Source organism: Homo sapiens, chromosome 2, assembly GCF_000001405.40.
Source record: "Homo sapiens chromosome 2, GRCh38.p14 Primary Assembly".
In the NCBI taxonomy this organism is placed as follows: domain Eukaryota; kingdom Metazoa; phylum Chordata; class Mammalia; order Primates; family Hominidae; genus Homo; species Homo sapiens.
In genome coordinates, this window is record NC_000002.12 from 102666012 (window position 1) to 102693958 (window position 27947).

Below are 27947 nucleotides of genomic sequence, written 5' to 3' on the forward strand. Positions count from 1 at the left end.
GCTTATTCCAACAAAGTTGCATCCCAAGCTGCTCTTGGAGTTCTGGAATGGCTTATGGATATTCATTGGCATAACCTTAGTCATAGAAATATTTTGAATGGTAGATTTGATTTGGGATAACAGCTTAGTCATTCAAAGCAAAATCAGCGAATGAGAGTTGTGACCATGCAATTCCAGTTTAGCTTTTTTTTTTTTTTTTTTTGAGGCGGAGTCTCGCTCTCTCGCCTAGGCTTGAGTGCAGCGGCGTGATCTCGGCTCACTGCAAGCTCCGCCTCCCGGGTTCACACCATTCTCCTGCCTCAGCCTCCTGAGTAGCTGGGACTGCAGGCGCCCGCCACCACACCGGGCTAATTTTTTTTGTATTTTTAGTAGAGACGGGGTTTCACCGTGTGAGCCAGTATGGTCTCAATCTCCTGACCACGCGATCCACCCCCCTTGGCCTCCCAAAATGCTGGGATTACAGGTGTGAGCCACCGCGCCCAGCCGGTTTAGCTTTTTAAACAAAGATGCAGGATTATAAAGCAGGAAATGTATAAAGCCAGGAATTTACTAAAGATATGGTTAGTGTCTCATGCACTAACTGGTTCTGAAGGAAGTTTTTGAGAAGTTAGACAAGTAGGCTGATGAATGATGGAGTTTGAATCCTGTTGTAGCATTTGGAGGATCACTTTGAAGGAGGCGGAGGCTGCTCATTGGGTGTGGATGTTTTTGTAGCTTCCAAAAACAAGCTTCTATTCTATTATGGTAAGACCCTGTATACGGTCAGTGAGAAATACTTAGTAATGGAATGCTTTTACATTTTTTTTTTACTTTGACAAATATGTATTTACAGCTCCATATGCACTAGGCTAAATGCTAGGACCTGCCATACATATTTAGAATTTTGCAGCTATAAGCATAAGCCTAGATCTTCCTGAAATTTTCTCTTCCGATCTGATTAAGATGATCATTTGATTGGGGGCTAGTTTGACTTTTGCCATATATCAGCACGTCTGTATCAGAAGCAGATGAGGTTTGTGGTGGAGGAAGTCGAAGACCCCCTACACAAAGAGAGTGGAAGCTGGGGTCATGACAGCCCTGAGTTACAGGTTGGGTGGTTTTCTGTTTCACAGAGAAACCTAAATAAAGCAACGCATTAATCTAGTTTGACCCAGTAATGAAATGTTCCATGTCTTTCTGGTTGCTATTCATATCATTTGTATGACTTCCAGTTTCCTCACTCTTCTTTGGCCAGTGTCATTGAAAATGTATGACCAGCTAGTTACTAGGTCTCTAAAAAGAGTGTGGGGGCGGGACTTAGTATCTAGTTTCCAGCAGTGTTGTTTTAGCAAGAGTCAGGGTATGAGAACCTTGAATTGCATTGCAAGTCTGAGTATATGTAAATGTTCTAGAACCCACAAAGGAGCTATGCAAATTTGTCAGTTTGCCAGATGTTCACAGGCAGGAATTGGGGTTCTTAAAGATCCAGCTATTGGGGGAAAGTTGAAGAATTGGATGGGATGGGAATCCTGGTGCATCCCCCATGTCGGTGATGGAAGGGTTGGAAGGCCTATGCTGTATCAAGTCACTGGCCTCTTGTGAAGATGGGATCACAGGTTTACTTATGCCAGGAATTCAGAAGTAAGAGACAAATAGGGCCACATATTCCTGATAAATAGCACAGGTAATTCTCTGCTGTGGTTCGTGGGCCTTTGTTTCCAACTTCAAAGTGAAGATTTTCTTGACAACTTAGTGTAGAGGAAATTTCTTTATTACATTTAAACTAATATTGTCATTGGCCAGGCACAGCGGCTCATGCCTGTAATCCCAGCACTTTGAGAGGATGAGACGGGTGGATCAATCGAGGTCAGGAGTTCAAGACCAGCCTGGCCAGCATGGTGAAACCCCGTCTCTACTAAAAAAAAAATACAAAAATTAGTCCGGCATGGTGGTGCATGTCTGTAATCCCAGCTACTCAGGAGGCTGAAGCAGGAGAATCACTTGAACTGGGAAGTGGAGGTTGCAGTGAGCCAAGATCACACCACTGCCCTCCAGCCCAGACAACAGATTGAGACTCGGTCTCAAAAAACTAAAAAATAAAAAAAAAACTAAAATTGTCATGGCTTATAGTATACCAAAATAATAAATGGGTCCTTAAATAAGATATTACCAGTGATGTAAACATTTTTGCCCCAAAATTACCATGTGCACCCATTATTCTGTCATGAAAAATGCAGGTACACATTCACATTGGGGTATGTTTGTTCTCAGAAGTTATACCCTCTTTTCTAATGCGGGGTAATCAGTATGCCATTCAAAACTTGACTGTGTGTTGCTTCCTTATGGTGTAGATCACAGATGTGCATGCCCCGCCCCTCTCTAAAGTGCATTATGTGCACTTCCACATTGTAATTATTGTATTTACTTCAGTCCAGGGGATACAGCATAATGATGCAATTAAAAATGCATATCTACACACACGCCTTACAGAACTAGTCATTTTTCCTGGGCTTAAATTGTACTGAGTTTAGAAATTCCTATCATACTTTGTACTAATTACGCTCTCTCTTTTACCATTTATAAACCAATTTTAAGGTTAATGAGAGTGAAGGCATCTGACGTACTGAGAATGCTCAGGACTTTCCCTTGTTTTCTTAAGAGAAATGGGCAGCTCCTGAGAAAGGCAACTAGGCAGAGAGGACAGGCACCTGCTAGGCGGGGAGAGAGGTTAAACTGCTTCTGTAATGATTTGTAACCCAGTTGTGAAACTTGGCTTTCCTGAGTTTTGCCTGCTCTCCTCCATCTCTCCCTCCTCCACCTTCTACCATTCATCCTTCCTTCTGTCTTCTTCGTGTTGCCTTTCAGAGCCTGTAACCCTCTGCATTAGCTTTGTTGCCTCTTGGGCAGCCTGTTCTAGACGGATGTCACTTACTTAATGAGCAGGTAGTTACTAGATGAATCTAATGAAAAAGAAACAATCTTCTGAGTAACAGAAGATTTTGGTTTGGGTTAAAAATGCAAGGACGCTTTTAGAGGAAAGTGCTGGACAGGATTTCAATATCTTGATTTCTTTGGAAAGATGATGGAAGCAGTGCACCTCGGGTGTTCATAAAGTCTACTGTTGCTGCTATTTAATTTTATCATAAGACTGAGGTTTTATAGGCTTTTTACTGACAAGTAAATTAAATAATGAGGTGAAATCTTCTGTCTTACAAAATATTTGGAGAGATGTCTTCTGAGTATTCTTAAATTTGGTTTCCCCTTTGTGGCCCTTCCTAATATTCCAAAACCTAATTTAATGTTAAGGAATGATTTACACTTATGTTTTATTGTATATTCAGAAGGGTTTTAGACTCAAACACTAATAAGGTAAATGCAATTCCCTGTTTTCTGATATTCTTCTACTCATTTCTATACTGGAATAAATTGTGGCAATAGGGAAATGTGTGTGTGTGTGCATATGCCTGTGTGTGCATACATATGTGTGTTTCAGTTTCCACAGCACCAGAACTGTAGTAAAGGGAAAGTTTCCATAGCCCCTTAAACCAGAAACTTCACATATCAATAGCATTGGACACCTTTGAGTATCAAAGTACTATAGCAGGGCATGAGAGGTGACTAATAGTTATTGATTTTAGAAATTCTTGCCTTGACTCATGTGTTTTGAACTTTATATTCAGGAAAATGCTCAGAGTCAAAGCACTGATGATTCCTATGGACAACGGTGTGTTTAACCTCATTTTACTTTCTTTACCCAAGGACACTAACAGTTGGATAAATTGATCACTAAAATTCAGGGCCATTACAGAAATCAACTTAAGCCAAAGTTTGTTATCCACTTTTGGACTTCAGGCTCCTTTCTGATCCTCCCCTTCTACCCTACACAGTCCCCTGGGCTCTAATAAGTGGGACATTGGAAACACACATTGACCTGAAGGGGGAAGGGCGTACTTGGCCTCCACAGCAGCAAATTTTGAAAATGGCTAACTCCTCCTTCACATAGGAGAGTAAGTGCCCAATATTTTTTTTATTTTTTTATTTTTATTTTTTATTTTTTTTGAGACAGAGTCTTGCTCTGTTGCCCAGGCTGGAATGCAGTGGCGCGATCTCTGCTCACTGCAAGCTCACCTCCCAGGTTCACGCCATTCTCCTGCCTTAGCCTCCCGAGTAGCTGGGACTACCCAGCTATTTTTTTTTTTGTATTTTTAGTAGAGATGGGATTTCACCGTGTTAGCCAGGATGGTCTCGATCTCCTGACCTCGTGATCCGCCCACCTCGGCCTCCCAAAGTGCTGGGATTACAGGCAGGAGCCACCACGCCCGGCCGTGCCCAGTATTTTTTAGTTCTGCTTTGATGGATTAATAATTCCTTAGTATTTCTTTCCTCAAGGGTACTGTCTAAGTATTTTCTATTTATTGTTAATTATTCTAGCAGCATTATTGCAAAGAAAGTAGAAAATGGTGATTAGTTTCATTCTTATGAATAAATAAATCGAGGCCCAGATGGACAAAACATGGCTGTCAGATGACTCAGTGGAGAATGAGACCTGACCCTGTGTCCCCAGTTACCAGGCCAGTCCTGTTTATGTGCAATATCCCCTCCCCCCACCAAAAAAAAAAAAAAAAAAAAAAACAACCCCAGCACATCCCGATGCAAATTTGTAAATGAGGAAATTTGTAACGGGAATTTCCAGAATGATAGGTTTAGGAATGAAATCCAGGAGTAGTTCCAGCTTGCTGGACTGAAGTCGTCACTGGTGAAGGTGCGAAGATCATCTGCTCTCTTCTTCCTGTTTTTCTTTGTAGGAGCTGATAATTGTCATCTGTTTAACACTTTGAGAAAAAAATAGGAAGGCATGCTTTTTTTTTTTTTTTTTTTTTGCCTATCCTAGTTCCTTTTGGTTTACCCACACTTTGTAGCGTTTAGGAGAACATCTCTTCAACATCCAAGAGTGTTAAACCATAGCCCTACATGCCAGAATAACCAGTTCAACATGTTTACTTGCGTTCACAAAGAATAAAAATAATAAACACAAGACATTGTAGGACATTCATAAAACATTATATGACGCATCATGTTTATAAAATGCTTTCAAACACAGGATGCCAACTGACCCTCATCTCAACGTCCTGAAGTGTAAAGAAGAGCAGGAAGAGAGTTTACAGAGAAGGAAGCGGGGAATCAAGACTAGAGTCTTAGATCTCTGGCTCCTTGTTTCTTCTCTTCTCACTGGGTCATTGTACGTTACATTGCCTTGACAAATAATAGTTTTACTTTTAATTATAGTGTATGCTTTCACTGATAGCTCTGACTGGCCAAGACTGACCACTTTAAAATCTGGTATGACCACCCCAAACATAAATAAGCCTGGGGTGGGAGGGGGAAAGGTAGTAAAATGATGCGAGAAATTAAGTGATACAAAAACAAAGCATATACCCCTTAATTTCTTGGACATATTCAGGAAAAAGGAAAAACAAAGAAAGCAACAAAAAGCTTGTGATTATCTTTTCTTTTCTATTGTATAACTTTGCCTGAACTGTAGGGTAAGACTAGTAAAGACAGAAAGGAATTGGAAATTATAAACCTTAACCTAGAGAAATGTAAACAATTTATGAAATTATCTGTATTTATTTTTATGGTTTAAACCGTTTAATTTAGTAGATTCAATAGATGGACCCCAGCATTTGCTTGGTTCTTTGAAGGAGGAACAAAAATAGTAGGTTGTCACTTCTTTCCTAGGTCCTGTCCAATAGGGTGACCACCAGCCTCATGTGGCTTCTGAGCACTTGAAAGTAGAATTGAGTTGTATTGTAAGTTTAAAATACACAGCAGAGGCTGAGTGTGGTGGCTCACGCTTGCAATCCCAGCACTCTGGGAGGCTGAGGCAGGTGGATAACTTGAGGTCAGGAGTTTGAGACCAGCCTGGAAAACATGGCGAAATCCCATCTCTACTAAAAATACAAAAATTAGCCAGGCATGATGGTGGATGGCTGTAATCCCAGCTGCTACTTGGGAGGCTGAGGTAGGAGAATTGCTTGAACCCGGGAGGCGGAGGTTGCAGTGAGCCGAGATTGAGCCACTGCACTCCAGCCTGGGAGACAAAGCAAGACTCCGTCTCAAAAAAATAATAATAATAAAAATAAATTTAAAAATATATAGCAGATTTTTAAGACTGAGTAGGAAAAGGATTCTAGAATATCTCATTAGTAATTTCTATACTGATTTGATGTTGAAATGACAATGTATTAGACATGTTGAGTTACATAAATATGCTCTGAAAATTATCTTCAGTTTCTTTTCGTGTTTTTCACTGTGAATAGTAGGAAACTGCAGATTACACATACAGCTCTGATGATTCCTATTAGACACTGTTGTTCTGTAGTGCTCACCACTAGTGTTTTCTACTTGGATATTTGAAGACTTGGTGACATATGTTTTACTCCTTTTGATAAGGTAAAAAAAAATAAGTCATGAAAAGATGGGAGGAATAAAAGAGAAATGCTCTCCCCGCTCTGATGATAATTGTGCTCTTTATAAAGACCATTTCTTTGAGAATGGGGAAGTTTAGAAAGAAAATAAGGAAGGAGAGACTGAAGGGAAGTTGGAGGTTCTTCTGAAGTGGCTTGTGATAATTAAGATGTCAAACTAAAGCCACCTTGTGAAAATGAAAAATGTTTCCCTAGGTCCACATTCGGGGGTTTTATATAAATATCCTCAAAATCTAAAGTGGGAGGGAAAGTTGTGGCTGCTGCAGGAATGAGCAGCGTACTTTAAAACAGATTCCCTGGGTTGAGATAATATATATATATATTTTGCAAATTGAATTTGTAAACTTATACAATAGTCAGTATTCAAAACATTATATTTTCTTGCCTCATCTTCTTAGAGGTAAAACAACATTAAAGGCACTATTTTCATCTCTGTTTTTATCTGTATTTACTCTGCAGACTGACTGAAGATCAATCGAGCCTCTATATTAAGGTCTATAGGTCTTTATTCTAGCTAATGCCAAAAGATATTGATTTCTGATGGAGGCAAAAAAAAATCAAATACACAAAACTCATCCTAAGTAGGATTATGTATTCCATTCTTGAAGATTATCAGGAATACATTATGAAGCTAGTCAGTCTTCCCTCAACTTGTCACCTGTGTCTTAGTGTCTTCTGGTATTTATCAAGTGGTCAGGGTACTAAAGAAATAATTAATATACTGGGTACTCAATGAATAATAATATAAGTTTAAGTGAAACACAAGCAGAAAAGCTCATTTTCTAGGAAAAATTGGTACAACGCATAATAAATCCAATAAATGCTGTACTTGACTGGCTTATGAAAATCAATTCACTGCATTCTTAGAATATTTAGCTAAAAAGATAGGATATTGATATTGCTTTTTTTGTTATTAAGATGAATCATACCATTGCTTTTCTCCTTCAGTGCAGATAATGGTAGATTTTAGAGGTATATTGGGAATCTTTTAGACAAGAAAAAACTTGATATTTCCTTGTTAACTTTAAATTACATAAAACTTTAACAATTCGCTCCTGAATTAAGAACTGATTCTTCCAAATCTACCTGAAGAGTGGGTATTTTTGTGTAACTGAAAATGCTGCCATCACTTTGCTTTTTGGACTGTTTCTTGACTGTTCTTTATGCTTATTTTTTAAAAAGGATGATATCCTTTCTGGCCTATATTTCAAGAATATTGTAGGAAATAACACTACTTTCTGGTAATGTGTAGGCCAAAATATAAAACAAGATAATAAGTCAGAAATGTATAATTGCTGAGAAATAAATACTTTTTTTTTTTTTTTTGAGACCGAGTCTCACTCTGTCGCCCAGGCTGGAGTATAGTGGCGTGATCTTGGCTCACTGCAAGCTCCGCCTCCTGGGTCCATGCCCATTCTCCTGCCTCAGCTGCCCGAGCAGCTGGGACTACAGGTGCCCGCCACCACGCCCGGCTAATTTTTTGTATTTTTAGTAGAGATGGGGTTTTGCCATGTTGGTCAGGCTGGTCTCGAACTCCTGACCTTGGGTGATCCACCTGCCCTGGCTTCCCAAAGTGCTGGGATTACAGGCATGAGCCACCACACCTGGCCACTTTTTCTTTTTTAATAAAAATATTTTTAGAAAAACTGAAATGAAATGTACACTTACCACCCAGCTAGTAGTTCTGAGGATGACACGCTTCGACACATGGATTAAGTCAGTGTTTCAGCCCCTTCGTGAGGAGGTTAGAGCTAGGAATACAGCTACGGAGGTCAAGCTTGGCCCTTCCTTGACATGATACGTGTCCCAAGGAGAACCCGTTATTCTTTATCCTTGCTTGAACAAACCTCAGTTTACTTCTCAGCAATTCTCTGGACAGGGGAGGACAATGGCCTGGTATGAACCCCAGGCCCTCCTGTGTTGGCTTCTGGGGTGAGGAGAGTCTGCCTGCAGCTCCTCTTGATGCTGTAGCATTTCTCTTATGTACTCACTCCTGCTGCTGCCATTTCCCTCACCTCAATCAAACATGAGGTCTGACTTTGTCAGTATTCCCAGGGGACCTGGCCAAGTGGCCCTGATTCTGTCTTTCCACTTGTGTCCTCACAGTTAATCCCCCGTTATTTGACATAACTTGAGTCACCAGGCATCTTTGTAGTCAGGAGCCCAGCTGAAACAGTAGAGAGAAGCTCTGTGTTAATGAAGGAAGCCAAACTCAAACCAGGTTAAGTCAGAAAGGAGGGATTTCCTGGCTCATGCGAATAAATACATTTTTGAGAGGACAGGTGGGATTTAGCCTTAGGGTGATAGGACAAGGGACTCCTATGTCTGCCTAAGCATTTCTCTCTCTCAACTTTGTGTCCCTTCATGAGAAGGCTTCCTTCTAGTTGGTTAGCCATCTCCAAAGCATGAAACCAGGGTCACAGAGAAATCGAGCTTTATATCTCTGCAACTCTGTCACTGAAGAGTAAAGTGAGATCTACCCTGCCAGGTCCTGTTAGAAAACATTTCAGAGGAAGCACTGTGATTGGCCCTGGGGTTTGGAGAACTGTCATGGGATCAGACTGTGTCACATGACCCGCCCTGTGACATGAGAAGTAGGGTTTGTTGCCAGAAGAAGGCAGCGAACTTAAACTAACTTTGAGTGAGACGACCATCCTAATCTGTGTTGACTGCAAGTTAGCAAGGAAAGCTCAATCCTTTATAGTAAAGTAAACTGGGATGGGAATGTTGATGATGCTTGGGTTGAAGCCTCAGTGATGAGAAGAGGGACATTCTGGGTAGAGGCAGAGGTGTAATTGAAGGCTCCAAGGTGAACTGAACTCTAGGTTGGTGAGAAGGAGGGGTCCCTGGTCTTGCCAGACCTGTTGTGTGCTATAGGCAGGTGGGAGCCTTTGGAATCTTTAAGGAGAAGTGACACAATTGTATTTCTGTTTTATGATAAATACATAATCAGAGTGCTTCCAGAACTTTTTTACACCATGACACTTACAACTGATAAAGTTTTCATGGTACTCTGGGTGAAAGCTGTAGGTCACGGCTCCAGTCTGACTGGCTGTCCTAGGGCTGAGGAATCCTTGATTAAGGAGGAGGATCAGGAAATGCCGCTGTCAGCAGGGATAAGGTGCCTAGGTAGAGACTCAGACAGGAAAAAAAATGTGTGAAGATGCCTGCACACTAACTAGTCTAGGCAAGAGAACACAGAGACCTGCACCTAGATCCAAGTCATAAAAATTGAGAGACAGGAAGGAAGAATAGTTGGCAAATGTAGTTAAATCCACATTACTCCTCAAATCCCATGTTAACCCTTATGCTCACCCTCCAATACAATTTTAAATAAAATGACTCAAATTTCAGCTTTTTTCTCATTTCTCCTTCCTCTTTGCAAGCCTCTGCCTATACTCCCATTTCCTGTTCTTAAATGTTAATGTGTTTAGGAATCACCTGGAAATGTCATTACATGGACAGAATCCCAGGCCTCAGCCAGAGGTTCTGATATAGGCCTTGGATGGGGCACAGGCATTTGTAGTTTTGCAACATTTACACGTGGTCCACAGACCATACTGCTCTAATATACATGCTAGTAGCTGTAAGAACTTCCAGAAAGCAGCAACTCATGCTGATGTTTCTAGGACTCATGTAGAACCACAAAGTATTCTGTGTATGTGTCTGGTGCAGGATTGTTGCATGCAGGTTTCACATACCCAGGCCCCACCTGTAGCCCACATAGACCAGGAGTCTTCCACCTGGAAAACCTTCATTCCATCATCAAAGTGTTGGTCAAATCTTCCTGCCTCTCTGAGGCTTTTCTTAACACTCCCCAGCTAGAATGGGGACACTCCATGGGACACTTGATGCCTGTGCTTCATGATGCTGTTGACATTGAGTTGTGATCCTTTGGTGTTCTCTCTCCACGTAACCAGAGTTGCTTTAGGTGCCAATAAGTGATCTATAAACATTAGTTGAATTGAATTGAAAGCAGTTATACAGGAGAAAAAAGTTGCAGAGAATTTATGCAATGGACAAGTCTTCATGATTAATCCAGGATTTTTGACAGTTTCAATGTACTTTATTTCATTTTTGATATTTTAAAAAAGATTGTTCAGTTTTTATGCTTGGATCCTGTTTTAAAAAACAATTGTTGTTTGCATTTTCTCATATGTCAAACTCTGTTTCTCTTGGTTGTCAGGTTTTCTGGAAGAAGCAATTCACTGTATAGTACATTCATGCCCTGGAATAATTTAATTTACTTCACTTGAGTGAGTACTTATTCTGAGAGCATGCAACGTGCCCAGAGTCACCACAAGACCTGGCTTTAATCAATACAGAAAAAGCTTTTTAATTGGTCTTCATCATTGCATATGCTTGGCACTGATTAGTGGAATATGCTTTCATATTTGGCAAAGCCTTAATTGAGAATATACAAATATTATTTGGGTGATACTTTCCTGCAATTGAATTCATACTTTTTAAAATCATATGGAATGGGAGCAAAAGAATTTTGCTTAATTGGTTAATTCTACACAGTTCAGATTGTAGATAAAGCACTCTGGATCTTCATTAAACTAGACTTAACAAGCATTAATTGAACTTGTACTTGGTACCACTATAGGCACAGACCATGCTAAGCATTAGTCCATAGTCTCAAAGCACACATTCTGGTAGAAAAGAAATAAATATCTATAGAAAGCAGGTTAATAATGGAGTCATGGAGTAATACAGAGGAAAAAGTATCTGTTAGAATTTTCTATTCAGAAAATAGTCAAATGACAAATCATTTAAGTAGAAAGGAAAGTCTATTTCCACCCACCCTCCCCAGGGGGAAAAAAAAAACTCTTTTGAGGTAGTGTCTATAGCTGGCCTGAATTGTCCTACACTGTATTTTGATTGATATACTGATAAAGAAAACCTCAGTTGCTGGTGTAAGTGAAAACCACTAATTATAGTGCTCTCCCTTCTCTGTCTCTAAATTGGTGATAATCACCACACATTTATGTTAAAGTGGGGCAAGATAATAACATAGCAGGCTGCATCTGCGAATTTTGTGCATGCCTCATCTCCACTCTGTCCTACAGAATGGAGCCTAAGACCTATCAAAATCTGGGCATGCTTTGGAATGCGAAATGGGCAATGGATATAGAGAAAATATATTCATATTGCACCACCATTCCTATTAATGACTCATCCATGTAGTCAATGATGCAAAATACATGCCAGACACTATGCTAAGCATTGGCAACACTTTTCTTTTTCCTCATGGAGCATCCAGTTTGGTTGGGGAGATAGACATTAATTATGTGATTGAAATTATAATTTCTCATTTTTCTCTCCAGCCTATAAAGTTAAAACTCCTAAGCATTAAGTATAACAGTGTCATTGAGCCCTAACTTCTTTCATCCTTCCTCATCTCTTAACATTTTCATCTTCCCCTCCTCCAGCTAACAGAATCATTTGGCAGATTCCTGAATGCACCACCCTGTTTATTTCTTTTATGCCTTTGCATATGGCTGCTGCTTTTCCCTGAATTACTCACTTCCTCTTTTTCCTGATAGGTGAGCTTATCCATGAAGGTGTTGCTCAAATGTCCTCTTTTGTGGCATAAGTCACCCTTTGCTTTCCTGCACTTCTATAGTATCTTCCCTTCCCTCATTCTAGCACGTACAGTGTTGTGTTCCGATGATCTCTTTGTGTCTGTTTCTTCCCTTAGAAGAACTCTTGAAGGCAGAAATTGGGTCTTACTTGCTTTCATCTTCCTAGATCCCAGCACAGAATTTGCCTCAGAATGGGTGCTCAGAAAATGTTGGTTGATGTTAAATTGCACTTCACAATCACATTAACTAGGTATGGAAAATTAAAAAAAAAAAACAGAGAGAGAGAGACATGCATGAAAAGGGGGGGGAAGGATAATTCAATGACATGAGCTAATAAAAGTAAGGATGTACTAGGAATATTGAAGGCCAATAGTTTTATTTTGAAGCTTTAGAATTAAGAAACTTAACCAGAATTTTCTATAATATAAAGAATCTATTTAGGTTATTATTTTGTTGGGGACAATGTCATACTGATGACACAGAATGAGGACGTGAGGCTGTGGACTCCGGTCATGAAATCCTCATGTGTTCATGTGATGGAGGAAGAAATCTTATCTCTTGATAGTGTGGTGGCACTGTGATAATGCTGTGACGTGACATTGTACCCAAGGACTCTCCTGGCCATATACTTCAGTAAGGCCAAGGACAGTCCGGTACTATCTTGCATCATTTGCCAGCTCTGTAAGTTTCTTGTGATTCTTTTAGAGAAATGGAGACTCATATGTATATACTGTGATGGTGATGACTATCAGCTCTAGAAGATGACCTGGCGGAGTGGGCAGAGATGGTTTCATTCTTTCTATCCCTAAGAGGCTGTTTTGCCTGTACCTCTCTAGTGGAAGGGAGACTAGCTCATTTGTAGTGTGTTTACTTCTGATATTTTTGAAGGTGAGGTGGTTTGACTTCAGGTCAGAGTACACTGCAACAAAAAAATCTCTTTGCAGTAAAAACAGCCCCGGACCTTTGCTTGAGAGGCCAGGTGACTCAGGTTGTACATGGCAGACCAGAATGGGAACTTTAGGAATGTTTCCTCCAGCCCCTCAGGTGCCTCAGTGCCACAGACATGCACACACTCCCTGAACAGGACACTACCAGATACTAGGGTCTGTGGTACCCACCCAGGGCGTTCTTTCTTCCTGTTCAGTGTCTCACTGAGGCTGGTAGGAAACTTCACTGAGTTACAGCAAGGTGTCTGGCTACTGTAAGCATCACTCTTGGTATCGTGTTAAGGATACAAAGCAATGGAAAATGATCCCATGGACATTCATGTTAAATTAATTCATGTTTTATTCCTACACCAAAGCTATATATATATATAATTTTTTTTTTTTTTGAGATGGAGTCTTGCTCGGTTGCCCAGGCTGGAGTGCAGTGGCGCGATCTCAGCTCACTGCAAGCTCTGCCTCCCGGGTTCACGCCATTCTTCTGCCTCAGCCTCCCAAGTAGCTGGGACTACAGGTGTCCGCCACCACACCCAGCTAATTTTTTTATTTTTAGTAGACAGGGTTTCACCATGTTAGCCAGGATGGTCTTGATCTCCCCACCTCGTGATCCGCCCACCTCGGCCTCCCAAAGTGTTGGGACTACAGGCGTGAGCCACTGCGCCCAGCCACCAAAGCTATATTTTAATTGTTTCTAAATAGAAATTGTTAAATTGCTCATGTAATAAACTGGAGATTACTTTTTGCCTGTATGGTTTACTTTTTTCCCAGTGAATGATATGAACATAATTTCAGAGGGAAATGTTTAGAACATTTAGAGAAACACTATTCATCAACCTTTTAAAGTTACATTTTTGAATGATTCAAAAAAATCAACTCAAGAGGGAGAGAAGGGAATGGGGTGAATATGAGAAGTCAACTTTATTGCTGATGTTTCCACTCTATAGATGACATTTTGTTTTAACAAATACAAGTGACTGGAGAAGGCTGGGTAGTGGGTACTTTGGTGTTCATGTCTTTCCATATTTGTCTATAAGTTAAAGTGCTTTATAATAAAACCCTTTTGAAGTATCTTTTGTATAGGATTAGAGAATTAAAAAATATATGTCCATTATAAATTAGTTTTATTACAAATTTTCTACTTGGCAACATTTTTTTTTCCACTACATGAAGTACCTAAAAAAGCAACATTTTTGAAAGGCTTATTAGTGTGTGTTTCTGTATACATGTCTTTTTTTATATATATAAAACATGTTATAATTCAGATTCTTAATCTAATCTATTGCCCTTGATACTTTGTATTGGAGAAATCTTACTTTTTAAAGTCTAGTTAAACAAAAATTAAGCCAAAATATGAAAGATGAAGATTTTCAGAAATGCGGGTAACCAGTGATTTATATCTGGGGGAGTGCTGGCGAGATGCCCGATATTGGCTTACTGAGACAGATGCCACTTTCCAGGCTGTTCTCCCAGTTCCTATTGCCTGCTGGAGGAGGTTCCAGGATTTCACGTCAAGTCAGTGTGACAGAGCTCCTGCTAGCTTCTGTCACCCAACTGCATGCAAGCAGCAGAGGCCATGCTCATCCGGGCCATGCACTTGGTTCAGGATACAGTTTAGGGGAGGAGAATGCAACCTGAAAGGGTTGAAAAATGGCCTCAAAGATGTCCCCAAAGATGTCCACATCCTAATCCCTGGAACCTGCTAATATGTTACCTTCTATGGCCAAAGAGACTTTGTGGATGTGATTAGGTGAAAATCCTGAGATGGGGAGATTCCATTAGAATATCTGGGTGGCCTTGATATAATCATAAGAGCCCTTATGAGAGGGCGTAGGAGAGTCAGACTCAGAGAAGATGTGATTAGGGAAGCAGAGGTCAGAGGGACGTGGCACGAGCCAAGGAATGCAGGGGGGCCTCTAGAAACTAGAGAAGGCAGGGGACAGATTCTCCCCTAGAGCCTCCAGAAGGAAAAAGCTTTGTCACCACCTTGATGTTAGCCCACTAATGTGATTTTGGACTTCTGACCTCTGGAAGTGCAAGATGGAAATCTGCATTGTTTGAAGCCACTCAGTTTGTGGTTATTTCTTACAGCAGCCATAGGAGATGGATACAAACAGGCTTGTGCTTGAGAAAGGATAAGCCACAGCTTGGTGGGCAGGGAAGACCTCCTTCCCATCAGAGATCGTAGGGCTCATTAAGAACTTGGAAAGGGTGAGGATTAAGTCTTCCACAGTGCTGGCTTTGTTTTTGTAGAGATGAGGTCTCATTTTGCATAGCTGGACTTAAACGCCTGGGCCCAAGCAATCCTCCTGCCTTGGCCTCCCAAACTGCTGGGATGACAGGTGTGAGCCACCATGCCCGGCCCAGTACTGTCTTTAAATCAAACTGCCCAGATTCATACCCTGGCACCACCATTTATTAGCACTGGAATCTTACATAATTGAACCTCTGTCTGCCTTTGTTCTCCCATTTATAAGCATAGGAATGATAATAGAACTTGCTCATAAACTTGTTATAAGGTTTAACTGACATAATCCATTCATGCCTGGCACAAAGTAAAGGTGCTGTGAAGATTGACTGTTTTTATATGAGTCCTCAACTATTCAAAGGCTTTGCCATGTGTTTATAGCTGTTGAATTTTATTAGCACATTTAATAAGGCCATTCCTTCTTTTGGGAAACCAATAAATTATGCATTCTTCACTTATAGAAATCTAAAAGAAATACCCACTTATTCTGGGGACAGTGACATGGTAGCTCAGTGTGTGGTCCTTAGATTGATGAAGTCTTCATTTTGTTTTAATAAGGGGCACAAAAATAAACATACCTGCCTTTGTTTTCTATGTGAACAACAGATATGTTACTTGCAATGAGACGTGTTCGTGGTGACCTGTTTAGGTTTTAGAGGATGCTTAGGTTTGCATTCTTCTACCTATTCTGATGCTCACAGTAAGAGGATTTCCTTAAGACAGCAGAAGTCTTCTCCGAGTGAGGAGGACCACATGATGGGAGTAGAGGGAGCTAAGCTAGGGTCACTGTACTGGTGGAGTTACGAGAATGCTGGAAACTTTGCAGATCATGACCAGTATTCAGCTTATGGCATGGTTACCACTGAGTGGAAGGCAGGGTGGCTCCCTCTAATCCCATCCTCCTGTTTCATTCTACAGGACCTTCGTAATGAAATTCTTTTGATACTTCATAGTAACCGTGTCTCCTTAGACCGGACCTACCATGAGCTGTCACCAAGCTCATCCTAAATTCTCCTCTGTGGGTGGCATCTGAGTTGATGAGGTGTAGCATCCTAGACAGAGAGGAACCCATGTGTGTAGTAAGGCAAGAAGACAGTAAAGAACAAGTTCAGGTTGGGCAATTCCATACAGCGGAGGCACATGGTGTGTGCCGGGGTGGAGAGAGGGCAGATGTGAAACTGGAATTCTCCACTGAGGGAAGTGTGTGAAGAGCTTCAGGAGTGTGGACTTGACCCTGGAGCCCTTCCTTTTCTCCAGGTGCCATATTCCAGTAGATATCATGAGAGTGGGAATAAAGGACTCTGTGGTCCCAAAGTTTTGGAAATACTTGGAAGAATAAGCCAAAGAGTTTCTTTGCTTTAGGAATTCTCAGAACCTGTTAAAACCTTTTGAATTTCCCAGAAGTGGATACAATAGATACATAGATATGAGACTCAGAACTAAGGATAAAAAGAAGTGAGTGGGTCTAAGAGATATTCAGGATGAAGAATCGAAAACAGTTGTTGACCAATTATATGGCAGGGGGGCTACTAAGATGTGACAGGGAGAGAAGTCTAATGCAAGCCCATTTTCAAGTTTAGGATTTTATACAATAGAATCCTTTTAGATAATAGAGGAACAGGGCATATGTGGGAAAATAAATCAGTTTACAGAAAGATAATGAGTTTCAAATTTATTTTGGACTTGTTTTATTTGAGATACAGAAAGGAGAGCTGATGGTGTCGACGTCCATAGACCTTTAAGTGTGAATCTGGGGTAAGGGAATTGAGGGACCAGAATGCTGGGCAGAGCCGGGTAGTTCAGCCAGGGTTGCTAAAGAAGACCTCCGGAGATTGCAGGATTTCCGAGGTTTGCATGCAAATCACATTCACCTATAAAAATCATTCGATGATGTTGTAGTCTTGGGCAGAAGAGTAGAGCCATAATTTAGCTCTTAAGTGCTATCTCTTGCATTCTGATTAAGATCATTGTTAGGTTTCAATAGAAGCTGAATCTTCCCTTTCAGAATCACTGCTTGTGCAATGACTATGAATAAGTACGTAGAAGAAAATGTATCTCAGAAATCCTACACGACCATCAAGTACTTCATGAAGATGCTGAGCAGTGTCAGCGAAACCTTGATCTTCATCTTCATGGGTGTGTCTACCGTGGGCAAGAACCACGAGTGGAACTGGGCCTTCGTCTGCTTCACCCTGGCCTTCTGCCTCATGTGGCGAGCCCTGGGTAATGAGTGCTTGTTTGCTAACTGGACATATGTAACACTCACTAATTGAATGGGGCTTTCCTTTTGTCATTCCCTTTCTGCTGTTGTGGATTCTTTTATGTCTGCTTAATTTCTTCTTCTTTCTTACCTACGTCTTCCTCCTCTTCTTCCTCTTCCTCCTTTACTTTTTTCTCTCCTATATCCTCCTCTTCCTCCTTTTCTTATCCTTTCTCATTTCCTTCCTCCTCTTCCCTATTATCTTCTTCCTCATCCTCCATCCTCCTGTTTCTCTTTCTCCTCCTCTTCCTTCTCACCTTCCTCTGCCTCTTCCTCTTCCCCTTTCCTTCCTCATCGCCCTCTTCATCTTCTCTGTCTCTTGCTCTTCCCGCCCCTTCCTGATATATTCTTTTCTTCTCTGAGTATCTTCATGGCTTTGTTATAAGTCAGATTAGTTTGTCTTGTCTTCTCTGATTTCACATTTTCACCCACAATCCTGAAACAACATCAAAGGCCCAGAACCTGGTATTACTAGCAAGACAGAGAAAAAGGGGAAAGACTTTGGGGCCTATTCTTAAATCCTTTGTCCCCATCGCAGAAGCACAGAAAATGAGTCTATGTATTTTCATATTTTGGCCTCACCCAGTCTGTTTCCTCTTGGGTTTTCTTTCTTTGCAGGTGTTTTTGTCCTGACTCAGGTCATTAATAGGTTCCGGACCATTCCCCTGACCTTTAAGGACCAGTTCATCATTGCCTATGGAGGACTTCGAGGTGCCATCTGTTTTGCGTTAGTGTTTCTCCTTCCTGCTGCTGTGTTTCCTCGGAAAAAATTGTTTATTACGGCTGCCATTGTTGTCATATTCTTTACTGTCTTCATTCTGGTAAGTAGAGTGATCCCTTTACCAGGAGGGTAAAAAATATCGTTCAGAATATTGGATTCTGTTTACAGGATGCAAAGTAGCAAAGGTGTGTTGAAACTTTGGTAGTTAATTACTAGGGAAAATGATATTTCCTGTCTGGGTTCATGTCACTAGATTGTTGAGGGGCCTCAGAGAGTCCAATTTGGTCACTTGGCCTACACAGAGAAATTATTATTTAAGGAAACTAAACTAAGCGCTCTAATCTTATGACTGGAAACAGGAACTGCACTTGCTAATGCTTATTATTTTTCTGACTTAGTGAATGCACTTGTTAAATGCTAGTTGTGCATATGACCTTCCAACAGCTATTTGACATGAGTTGACTGCCTCGCGGTGACTCCCCTAAATGAGGAATGGATGAATGCACGTTTAATATTGGGAGGCAGAAAATGTGGTGGACCTGTGTCCAGATCCCTACTTTGCAAGTTAATCAATATCTTTAAGTTAAGATGCCAACTCTTAGAAGATTATATTTTGCAGATATTCATTTATCAAATATTTCCTGGACTCCTGCTAAGTGCCAGGCAGTGCTCTAGGAGCCAGAACATAAAAAGATCCCTGTCCCTGCTGCAGAGCTTACATTTCAGAGGGGTTGGTAGCACTAAACAAGAAACACAAGTAAATCATAGAGCATGTTAGAAGGTGGAAAATGTTATGCAATAAGGATAGAGTAAGGAGTCAAGCATGGTAAGGGTAAAGTCGTGGGGGAAATGTTACAATTCCAACATCAAATGGTCATGAAAGGGAACAGCGAGAAAAATGAGATTTGAGCAAAGACATGCAGGAGGTGGAGGAATTAGCTAAGCCCAAGAACATCCCAGGCAAATGGGCTGAGGGATCAAGTGTGTTCTGAAGGCAGTGTGCTCTTGGCCAGTGTGGCTGGAGTGGCACAGAGTGTGGTGTGGAGTGTAGGAGAATGAGGCGAAGCAGGGTCTGGAGTCCTACATCATGCAGGGCCATGCAGCCCAGTGTATGAAGCTTGGCGCTTCTTCAAGTGAAATGGAAGCCATTAGAGAGTGTCATGCAGATCCCTGATATGTTCTCACGTCCTTTGTAAAAGGATCATACTGGCCACTGTGTTGAGAATAGACTGTTGCGAGGAAAGGGTGAATGTTGGAATCCAGCATGGAAGCCCTGCAGTCATTAGGGAGGACAAAACTGGTGGAAGTTCAGTTGGTGAGAAGTGGTAAGATCCTAGAATACATTCTGATGGAGCAACCTATGGGATTCCCTGATGGATTAGACATGTTGTGAGGGAAAGAGGCATCACTCATGACTCCAGGGGTTTTGGCCTGAGCAGCTAGAAGGATGGACTTGCCCTCAAGTGAGAAGGGGAAGTCTGTGCATGGCAGAGGTGGGGGTGGGGAGACTGTCAGTTCAATGACGGGCATGCTGCATTAGGGGTGTCCATTAGACCTACAGTGGAGATACGGATGAGGCAGATATTATGAGTCTGGAGCTCAGGAAAGAGGCTCTCTGGCCACTAGCAGAGAATTGGTATTTGAAGCCATGAGCTGGATATGATTGTGAAGGGAGTGAAAATATACATTGAAGAGGCTGCAATAGAGGAGTAAGGATTGAGCCTTGGGGCGGCCCCACCTTAAGATATCGTGGGAAGAAGGGAGCAGCCAAGAAGAACTAAGAATGAGCGATCGGTAAAAAAGGAGGAAGATCAGGAGATGTGCGTGTGTTTTAAAAATTTATTCATATTTATTTAAAAGTTAGTCACAGAATGCTTTCTAGGTACCTGATGCAAATCTGAGCATCTTACATGTTAATTCATTTAACCCTCATAACAATTCCATGGCACATAACTCTAGGAATCATGGTTTATTATCCCTATTTTGTGGAAGAGGAAAGTGGGGCACTGAAACTGAGGCTAAGTAAGTTTACCAAATTTGCACAGATACTAAAATGTAAAGCAGAGTCAAAATCTATTTGCTTTTGACCCTGAATAAGGTGTCCAGGAGAGAGCCTGGTGTGTAGCGAGTGCTCAGTATTGTAATGCATCACGATTTTCCTCCTTCCTTCTAGTCATTTCTTCAAAAGACAGTTCATCCTTCATTCATTCATGCCTTCCAACACTGAGGACACTGAGTTCTCTGGAATCCTGAAGAAGACCCTTTCCTGAGTTAAGATGACCACCTTCTGTTACTGTCTTTATTATCAACACCTTTCTGCTTTCGCGCAGTAATATGGGCCAGAAATGGTGATGACTTGCCCTTGGGAAGTAGTGGCAGAGCTGAGAAAAAGCAGATGCAGCCCTCTTTATTTTGGAAGACTCTTCAATGAGACTTTATGTGAGAAGTGAGCCAAAGCAGGGCAGAGGATCAGTCGAAGGATGACTGCTAACTCTTGTGTTGTGTGGAATGTCAGAGAGCTTGTGAGGACAGGGGAGGCTGGAAGTGGGGAAGTTCATGTGAGGTGGATCACCTGTTCTCAGTGATGTAGGAGCATGGCTTTCCCTGAGTATAAAGAGGACAGGAGGAGGATAGATGGGAGGAGAGAGATGAAGGTGGTTAAAGGCCATGATAGAAAAGGAGAAAGCCTGAAGCAACAAACAGCACAGTTGAGATGTATTAGCCGAATTTGGTATTGTGAACACATCAAGCTAATCCTCCACTGAGGGAGACATCTGGGGATCATTGTTTAGAGCCCGCAGGTGTAGAGATGGCAGTCTTTCCTCTTATTAGGTTAAACGAGAGTCTGGCCAAGTTCACTTGGATATCCACAGAGAAGAGAAATTGCTGCGGTTCCACTTGTGTTGATATCTTCTTTTTCCTTTTCTCTGCCTACCCTTCTGTGTGCACAGATCGGAGACTGCGTGCATATTGCTTGGTTCCATGACTCTGACCACTTCCTCTTCCTCCTATTCTCCTACCTACCACTGGTTCTTAAGATACTCTGAACACACACACGTGCACAAGCGTGCATGCACCCACACACACAAATACACACATACTCCCTTCAGAAAAGATATCTTTTCCAGAATACATCAATAATTAAGGAATTCAGTGAAGGAAGCCTGGAGGGAAATACTTGATGAGATATAAATATAGCAGGAATAACTAATTATACATCCATGCATAAAATATTGCCTTTCAAGTAAGAATTATGTATTCTTTTTCAAACGATGACTTTTATGTTGATGGACCAATTACTAAACTTTAAATATGTTTTTCTCCCCTTATTTCAATATTTTATATGATAAGCTCTTCCAACCTGGTACTACTGAGTTATAACTATCTTCAAAAATAGGATTTCACATGATGTATGATGCATTATTTGATATCATAGTTTATCATGAGAATTTTCACATTGTTTGAATCGTGTTGCTTCTTAGCAAGCGATGTAGTCCCTTTATGAGGCACACTATCATGTTGTCAGAATATGGTGCTGTTTGGGGAATTTTTTTTTTTTTGAGACAGAGTGTCACTCTGTCACCTAGGCTGGAGTGCAGTGGCACGATCTTGGCTCACTGCAACCTCTGCCTCCTAGGTTCCAGCGATTCTCCTGCCTCAGCCTCCCTGAGTAGCTGGGATTACAGAAATCCACCATCACGCCCAGCTAATTTTTATATTTTTAGTAGAGATGCGGTTTCGCTGTGTTCGCCAGGCTGGTCTTGAATTCCTGGCCTCAAGTAATGCACCCACCTTGGCCTCCCAAAGAGCTGGGATTACAAGCGCGAGCACCACCATGCCCGGCCGTGGAATATTGAATGAGGAAACAATTCTGATTCCTTGGACATTTGAGTTCATTTTTTTCCAATATGATTGGTAATGTTATTTATATCAAATATAAGCTATTTCTCATACATGTAAATTATATTCAAAATTGGGGAGGGTGAAATACAGTTACATAAAGTGCAGTTTTAGAGTAAGACTATTGTGGGTTGATACTCTAAGCCTGCTTTTTGCAGCCTCTGTGGGCCTCAGTTTACTTAGCTGTAAAATCTAGACAATGCTCCAGGCAGCTCAGGGGAAATATGTGTATAGAGTATGACACCTGACACAGGGTTTTTGCCTCACGAGTTGCCATGTTTAATATACTACATTAAGAAAAATTATAACGAGGCCATGTGCAGTGGCTCACGCCTGTAATTCCAGCACTTTGGGAGGCCAAGGCGGGTGGATCACGAGGTCAGGAGATCAAGACCATTCTGGCCAACATGGTGAAACCCTGTCTCTACTAAAACTACAAAAATTAGCTGGGCATGGTGGCACGTGCCTATAATCCCAGCTACTCGGGAGGCTGAGGCAGGAGAATCGCTTGAACCAGGGAGTCAGAGGTTGCAGTGAGCCGAGATTTTGCCACTGCACTCCAGCCTGGCGACAGAGCAAGACTCTGTCTCAAAACAAACAAACAAACAAAAAAAGAAAGAAAACTTGTAACGAAAGAAAGAAAAAGGTAAGTTCTTTCAATATATTTTTCTTTGGAAGGAAAAATGATTAGAATACAATAATTATTATGTAGTTAATCCCTATAATAAAAAGGGGCAGATCTCAAGAATTCTGTAAACGTACTAAGTGGTTATCTAGAAGTCCATCAAGTGGGAAAGTTAACCAAAATTCAAGAGATAGCAGCCTCTTTTGCACATTAGTGATGTAACTTAGGTTAAGTCACGGTGCAGAACTGCGAAGCATCTGGGGTTTTATTATACTTGTAAGCTAACAAGTTCGCCTGTTACTATTTCATGAATGCTACAGAAGACTCCTGAGTCAGAGACAAAGGACTTTATTGTCCATGACAAGAGCTGTAGCCACAGCCTTGTGTTGGTTTGTGTCAGTTTTCCACACCTCCTTGTCCCATGGGGGTGACACAAGGGACCCGCGATGGATGTCTGCCCATGTCATGGGCTGTATTGCAGGAGGGGGATATATTTGAGTTTGGGGATATATTGCTCTCTCAGAAGGGTGACCTTACTTCATTTCTCAAGAGTGCTCATTGCTTGCAACCCTAAGAAATGCTCCAGGTAAAAAAGTCATCAAGGCCTGACATTCTTGGCATCCCCTGCAAGAACATGTTGGGGTGCTTAGGGCCCATGGTGGGGTAGCCTCTCCCAGCAATTACATGAATCTTTGCTGATTTAGCCTCTCCAACTGGAATGATGATGCTCACTATTTTATAGACCTTGTGAAGACCCTCAAATGTGCCTTCATTTGTCAAATAAATGGTCATATTTTTATATATGTACTGTTTAAAAAGGACACCATCTTTATATTTCATTAACATATGCCATTATTAGGTGGGGTTCCATAGAATTTAGAATACTTTACAACAATCCTACAATAAAACGAGCAAGATGATCAGGCTTTTTTAAGATGGAACAATGTAGGTGAAAAGTTTAGGATATGAGAAGAAGAGCAGTATAAGACAGTTCCATGTGTTTTTGACTGCGCAGCCAGGGGAATGAAGGTGACATTTAATTTGGTGGGGACTACCTGGAGAGTATTAGGTTTGAAGGATGGGACATCATGTGCTCAGTTTTGGATGTGTCCATTTTGGACATATATATTTGCCTATTAGACATCTAAGTGGAGATGTTGGATAGGCAGTTATATATATATGTATATATACACACATATATATGAGTCTGGAATTTGGGGGAGAAGCCAGAGTGGGAGATGTAAATTTGGGATTCCTCAATATATGGTTTTTAACACACATAAGTCTGGAATTATTGAGGGTATAAACATAGAAAGAATACAGAAAAGAAGGCATCTGACAACTGAACCCTGAAACATAGCAATATTTAGAAATCAAGAAAAGGTTGAGGAATCAGCCCAGGAGGCCGGAAAGGGTGAACACTAAAGGAGGCGAAACATCAGAAGGGGTTACACAGGAAGGAGAGAAGAGGCCTCTAGCAACTGTGACAAATACAGCTGCAAGGTCAGAAAAAGTGTGAGTGGAGAGTGCAGTCTTGGATGTAGTGACGCCGTGATGAGTGGCCTCTGCACAAGAGCACTTTGGGTCAGTGAGGAGAACAAAACCCCAACTGGCTGGATTCGAGAGGGGAGGGGAACAGAGAAATGAGGGGCAGGAGATATGGGCAACTCTCTTAGGTTTCTTAGAGAAAGGAGGTGGTGGCCAGAGGTGGATATCTGTCACAGGATGGTTTTTGTTTCTGATTTTCGAAGATGGGAGCACGTTTGGAGACTGATGGTACAGGAGAGGGGGAAACCCTGATCAGCAAAGAGAAAGCTGGAGTATAGGGGAGAGACGGACAGACATAGAAGGGGAAATCAGTGTGCAGCATGGAAAGTGCTAAAAGAGAGACACACAGATGGGGACTGTGAACAGCTACTGCAATGCTTTAATGCTTCTCACTCCACCTATCCCATTCTAAGATAAACACTGTTTGCACAACTGCATTTATGATCTCTGTGACCAAGTGTGTGATGTGAGAAAGACCTTCCATAAGACAGCATAGCAGCGATAGTGATATTTTTTAATACATGAAAATCGTTTCTATAAGTTTTTCTGGAAATTACCTGATAATCAGCAAGGAAATATAAGTTTCTCTCTCCCACATCCTTTTTATTTTGCAAATATTAATTCCAAAAAGCAACACAAAACAAGAACTCATTTTCTTCAAAAAAAAAAAAAAAAAAAGATGAAAAGAATGCTCATGACACTCACATCGCAGTTGTATAATTTTTGTTTGTTTGTTTTCCCCTCTGATATAAATGGGAGCTGGGGGATGCCAGGTGGGAGGAAAGCAGAGATGGAACAAGATGCAAAACCAATAATTCTCCCCGTTCCTCTCCCTGCCCCTGCTGTTACATGATTCTCCCAGGCAGGCCTGACCCTCAGAGGTGGTGTTTAGTATGTATGCCAAAGTGAATGAACTGGTGAAAATTTAACTTGTATTTGCAAATATTTCTACTGGTAGTTTGATGAAAAACTAAGGGTTGTATTTTTTTTATTCTGTATGGATGGTAGCAAGCTCTTTGATTTTTCTAAGCCTTATCGGGTTACTCCCTGGGTGATCTAAATTAGAAATTTTCTAATGTGGTTAAAATAAGGTGCTTTCTTGGTCTTTGTTGTTTCTTTCTCCCTCCCAACCAGACACCCAGGCTCCTAGAATATAACATCCAATGTTGGGGGCTTAATATGGCATACACAGATGTCATATACTCTGCCTGCAAAATAGATGGATTGAAGAAGGAAGGAAAGTAAGAAGGGAGGGAGAATAAGTAAGGCAGCTTTCATCAAATAATTCTTATTGAGCATGATATGACTATTGCAGGCAATTCAAAGATAAAAAGGGCGACGATTAAAAGGGACTGTATATACAAAAACATATTGCTATAAGCTTTATGATTATAAACATAAATATATTATGCTTTCAAAAACTTGAGTTGATGGGGTGGTAGGCCACACTTGCTTCCTGGAGTTGATGAGTTGTGATTTATTTATGGTAGCGCATTCACTTCTAGATCATCTGTAGGGTGGAAGGAATCAACATATGGACTGGGGTAAGCCCTGTGTCCTATCTTTATGTCCTGTATTTACAAAGACTCGTGACTCACCTATTACTTACTAAATGAACACTGATAGGAAAAGAGCACGTGAAACAGCAGCTTGTGTCTTTAGAACACATTATAGAGTTTTAAAATTTACATTGATTTTGTCAACTTTTTCTTGAGCTATTATTAAACTACTGGCTTCATGGAATCTGGAACTTAGTGAATTCTCCCATCTCTGCGAACCACATGTTTACACCCGTTTCATTTACATAAGTTAGAAATTACAGAACATGTGTTGATTGGAAAACTGCTATTACCTTTTGTGTTATCTCAAAGTAGCAGACTGAAATACAAATAGAACACAAGATGTGTTTTATACCAAATTTGGTCAAAATCAGTTCACACTTCAGAAAGTTAAAATGAAAGTTAAGCTGAAAAATGCCCAGAGCTAGACTGATGGAAAAAAGCCAATCACCTCCTTTAAAAAAATGGATGTGTATGTGTGTCTCAGTCAGTTTGCATTATCAAAAACATTCTTAAAGTCTGAAAGACATGAGGAAAGATGAGATGAAAGTCAAATGCATGGCAGGGAATATCCCCCTATATAGCTACCCTCTGTCCCTGAAATCCTAACTACCCTTCCTATCCATGTATCCTTCCTGCAGGCCAGGAAGTAGTGGCCATCTGCCCACCAAGCAAGAAACTTGGGAATCTTGACTCTCACCCCCTCCTTACCTGCCCTATTTTGTGCCAGTAATGCATTACTTTAAGTATATTTACTGACAGTTCATTTTCATGTCTGTAAGTTCCCTTTCAGTCTCCTTTTTCTAAAATCTTCTGGTTACATTTACTTTTCCAGGTTGATTTAAAATCAGCCTCTCAAGTTATGTTAAAAGTCTTCAGGAATATGTCACTGGAATTGTGTTGTCGATACATGTTAGTTGAGAGAAAACTGTCATTACAATATTGTTATCCTGTCTAGGAATTGTGTTTTTCCTGATATCTCAAAATGTCCTTAATCTTCTTCAGTTAAATTGTGTAGTTCTCCTTGTAAAGGTTTTATGCATTTATGATAGGGTTTTATACATATATAGAGATAATGGATAGTATATCTATGCATATTTAGTATCTATATAGAATACTAGTGTATTATATAACATGTTATTAGATACTAGCATATACTTATTAGATACTAGTATATACTAGTATTTTATATATATATATATACACACACACACTCTTTTTATATGTTTTTTTCATTGCTATTGTAGGTGTTTATTCTGTTTCATTTAAAAATTAACATCTGGGATGGATTGGGCATTTTGAATTTGTGTTAGTTACTGTACCAAATTTTCTTGTTATTTTTAAATGAAAAGATATTATTTCAGGTTTTTTAGGACAAAAACTCAATCATCCAGGAGCAACAGAAACTTTGTCACTTCATTTTCAGTACTTATACATCTAGCTCTTCATCTGTCTATTCTTCTCAGTTGACTGGGACATGCAGAACTGTGCTGAAGAGAGGCAGAGAGCTGAACAGAGACAGACAGAGCATCCTTGTGTTATTTCTGGCTCTAATAGAAATGCTTATAATGTTTCATTTTTAAGTGATATGTTCACTATTGATTTCTGGCATATGTCTTTGTCACATTAAGGAATTTTTCTCCTCCTAGTTTACTGAAGAGCTGATAGTTCTCCACATTTCCGGAGTTCACTCATGAACGTGCCCAGACTGGCCGCAAGCCCCCTCTCACTGCGGTGCTTTGCTGTGCTGTGGTCTCCACTGGGATATGCTTCCAGCATCTCCACCACTGCCCACCAGTGTCTCCTCTGCTCCAAGCTTTCCTTGACCTGCTTCCTGTGCTAGCCCTGTCATCCCTCTTCTGCTTACTTTGTAACTGTTTTCGGAAGTATCTGACTTTGTATAAGACTGCAAAGTCCTAGAACCCAGGTCCTTAACTATTCACCATTGGGTTCCAAATGCCCAAGACCCTGATATGTGTGCAGTAGAAACTCAGTGAAAATCGTTTTAATAAATGAACAAATGAAGGAGTCATTGATAAGTTTTCTATGGATAATACAACAAGTAGGTGATTCCTCTGAACTGGATAATA

At 40.8% G+C, this 27947-nt stretch overlaps 1 protein-coding gene across 2 annotated transcripts in view, besides 1 other annotated feature; it reads left to right on the top strand.

Moving 5' to 3' along the window:
- SLC9A2 (solute carrier family 9 member A2) overlaps positions 1–27947 on the top strand; it is a 91803-nt gene that overhangs the window by 46459 nt on the left and 17397 nt on the right. For both annotated transcript variants that reach the window (NM_003048.6, XM_047445572.1), the window contains 2 exons: positions 17250–17467; positions 18123–18325. In NM_003048.6, coding sequence (NP_003039.2) covers positions 17250–17467; positions 18123–18325 — 421 coding nt within the window. The remainder of the gene's footprint in view (positions 1–17249; positions 17468–18122; positions 18326–27947) is intronic.
- Positions 1223–1382: a silencer, noted in NCBI's record as "silent region_11833". NCBI's record gives its function as "represses an Ori minimal core promoter by ATAC-STARR-seq in GM12878 lymphoblastoid cells {active_cell/tissue: GM12878}" and the evidence as "EXISTENCE:reporter gene assay evidence [ECO:0000049][PMID:35858748]".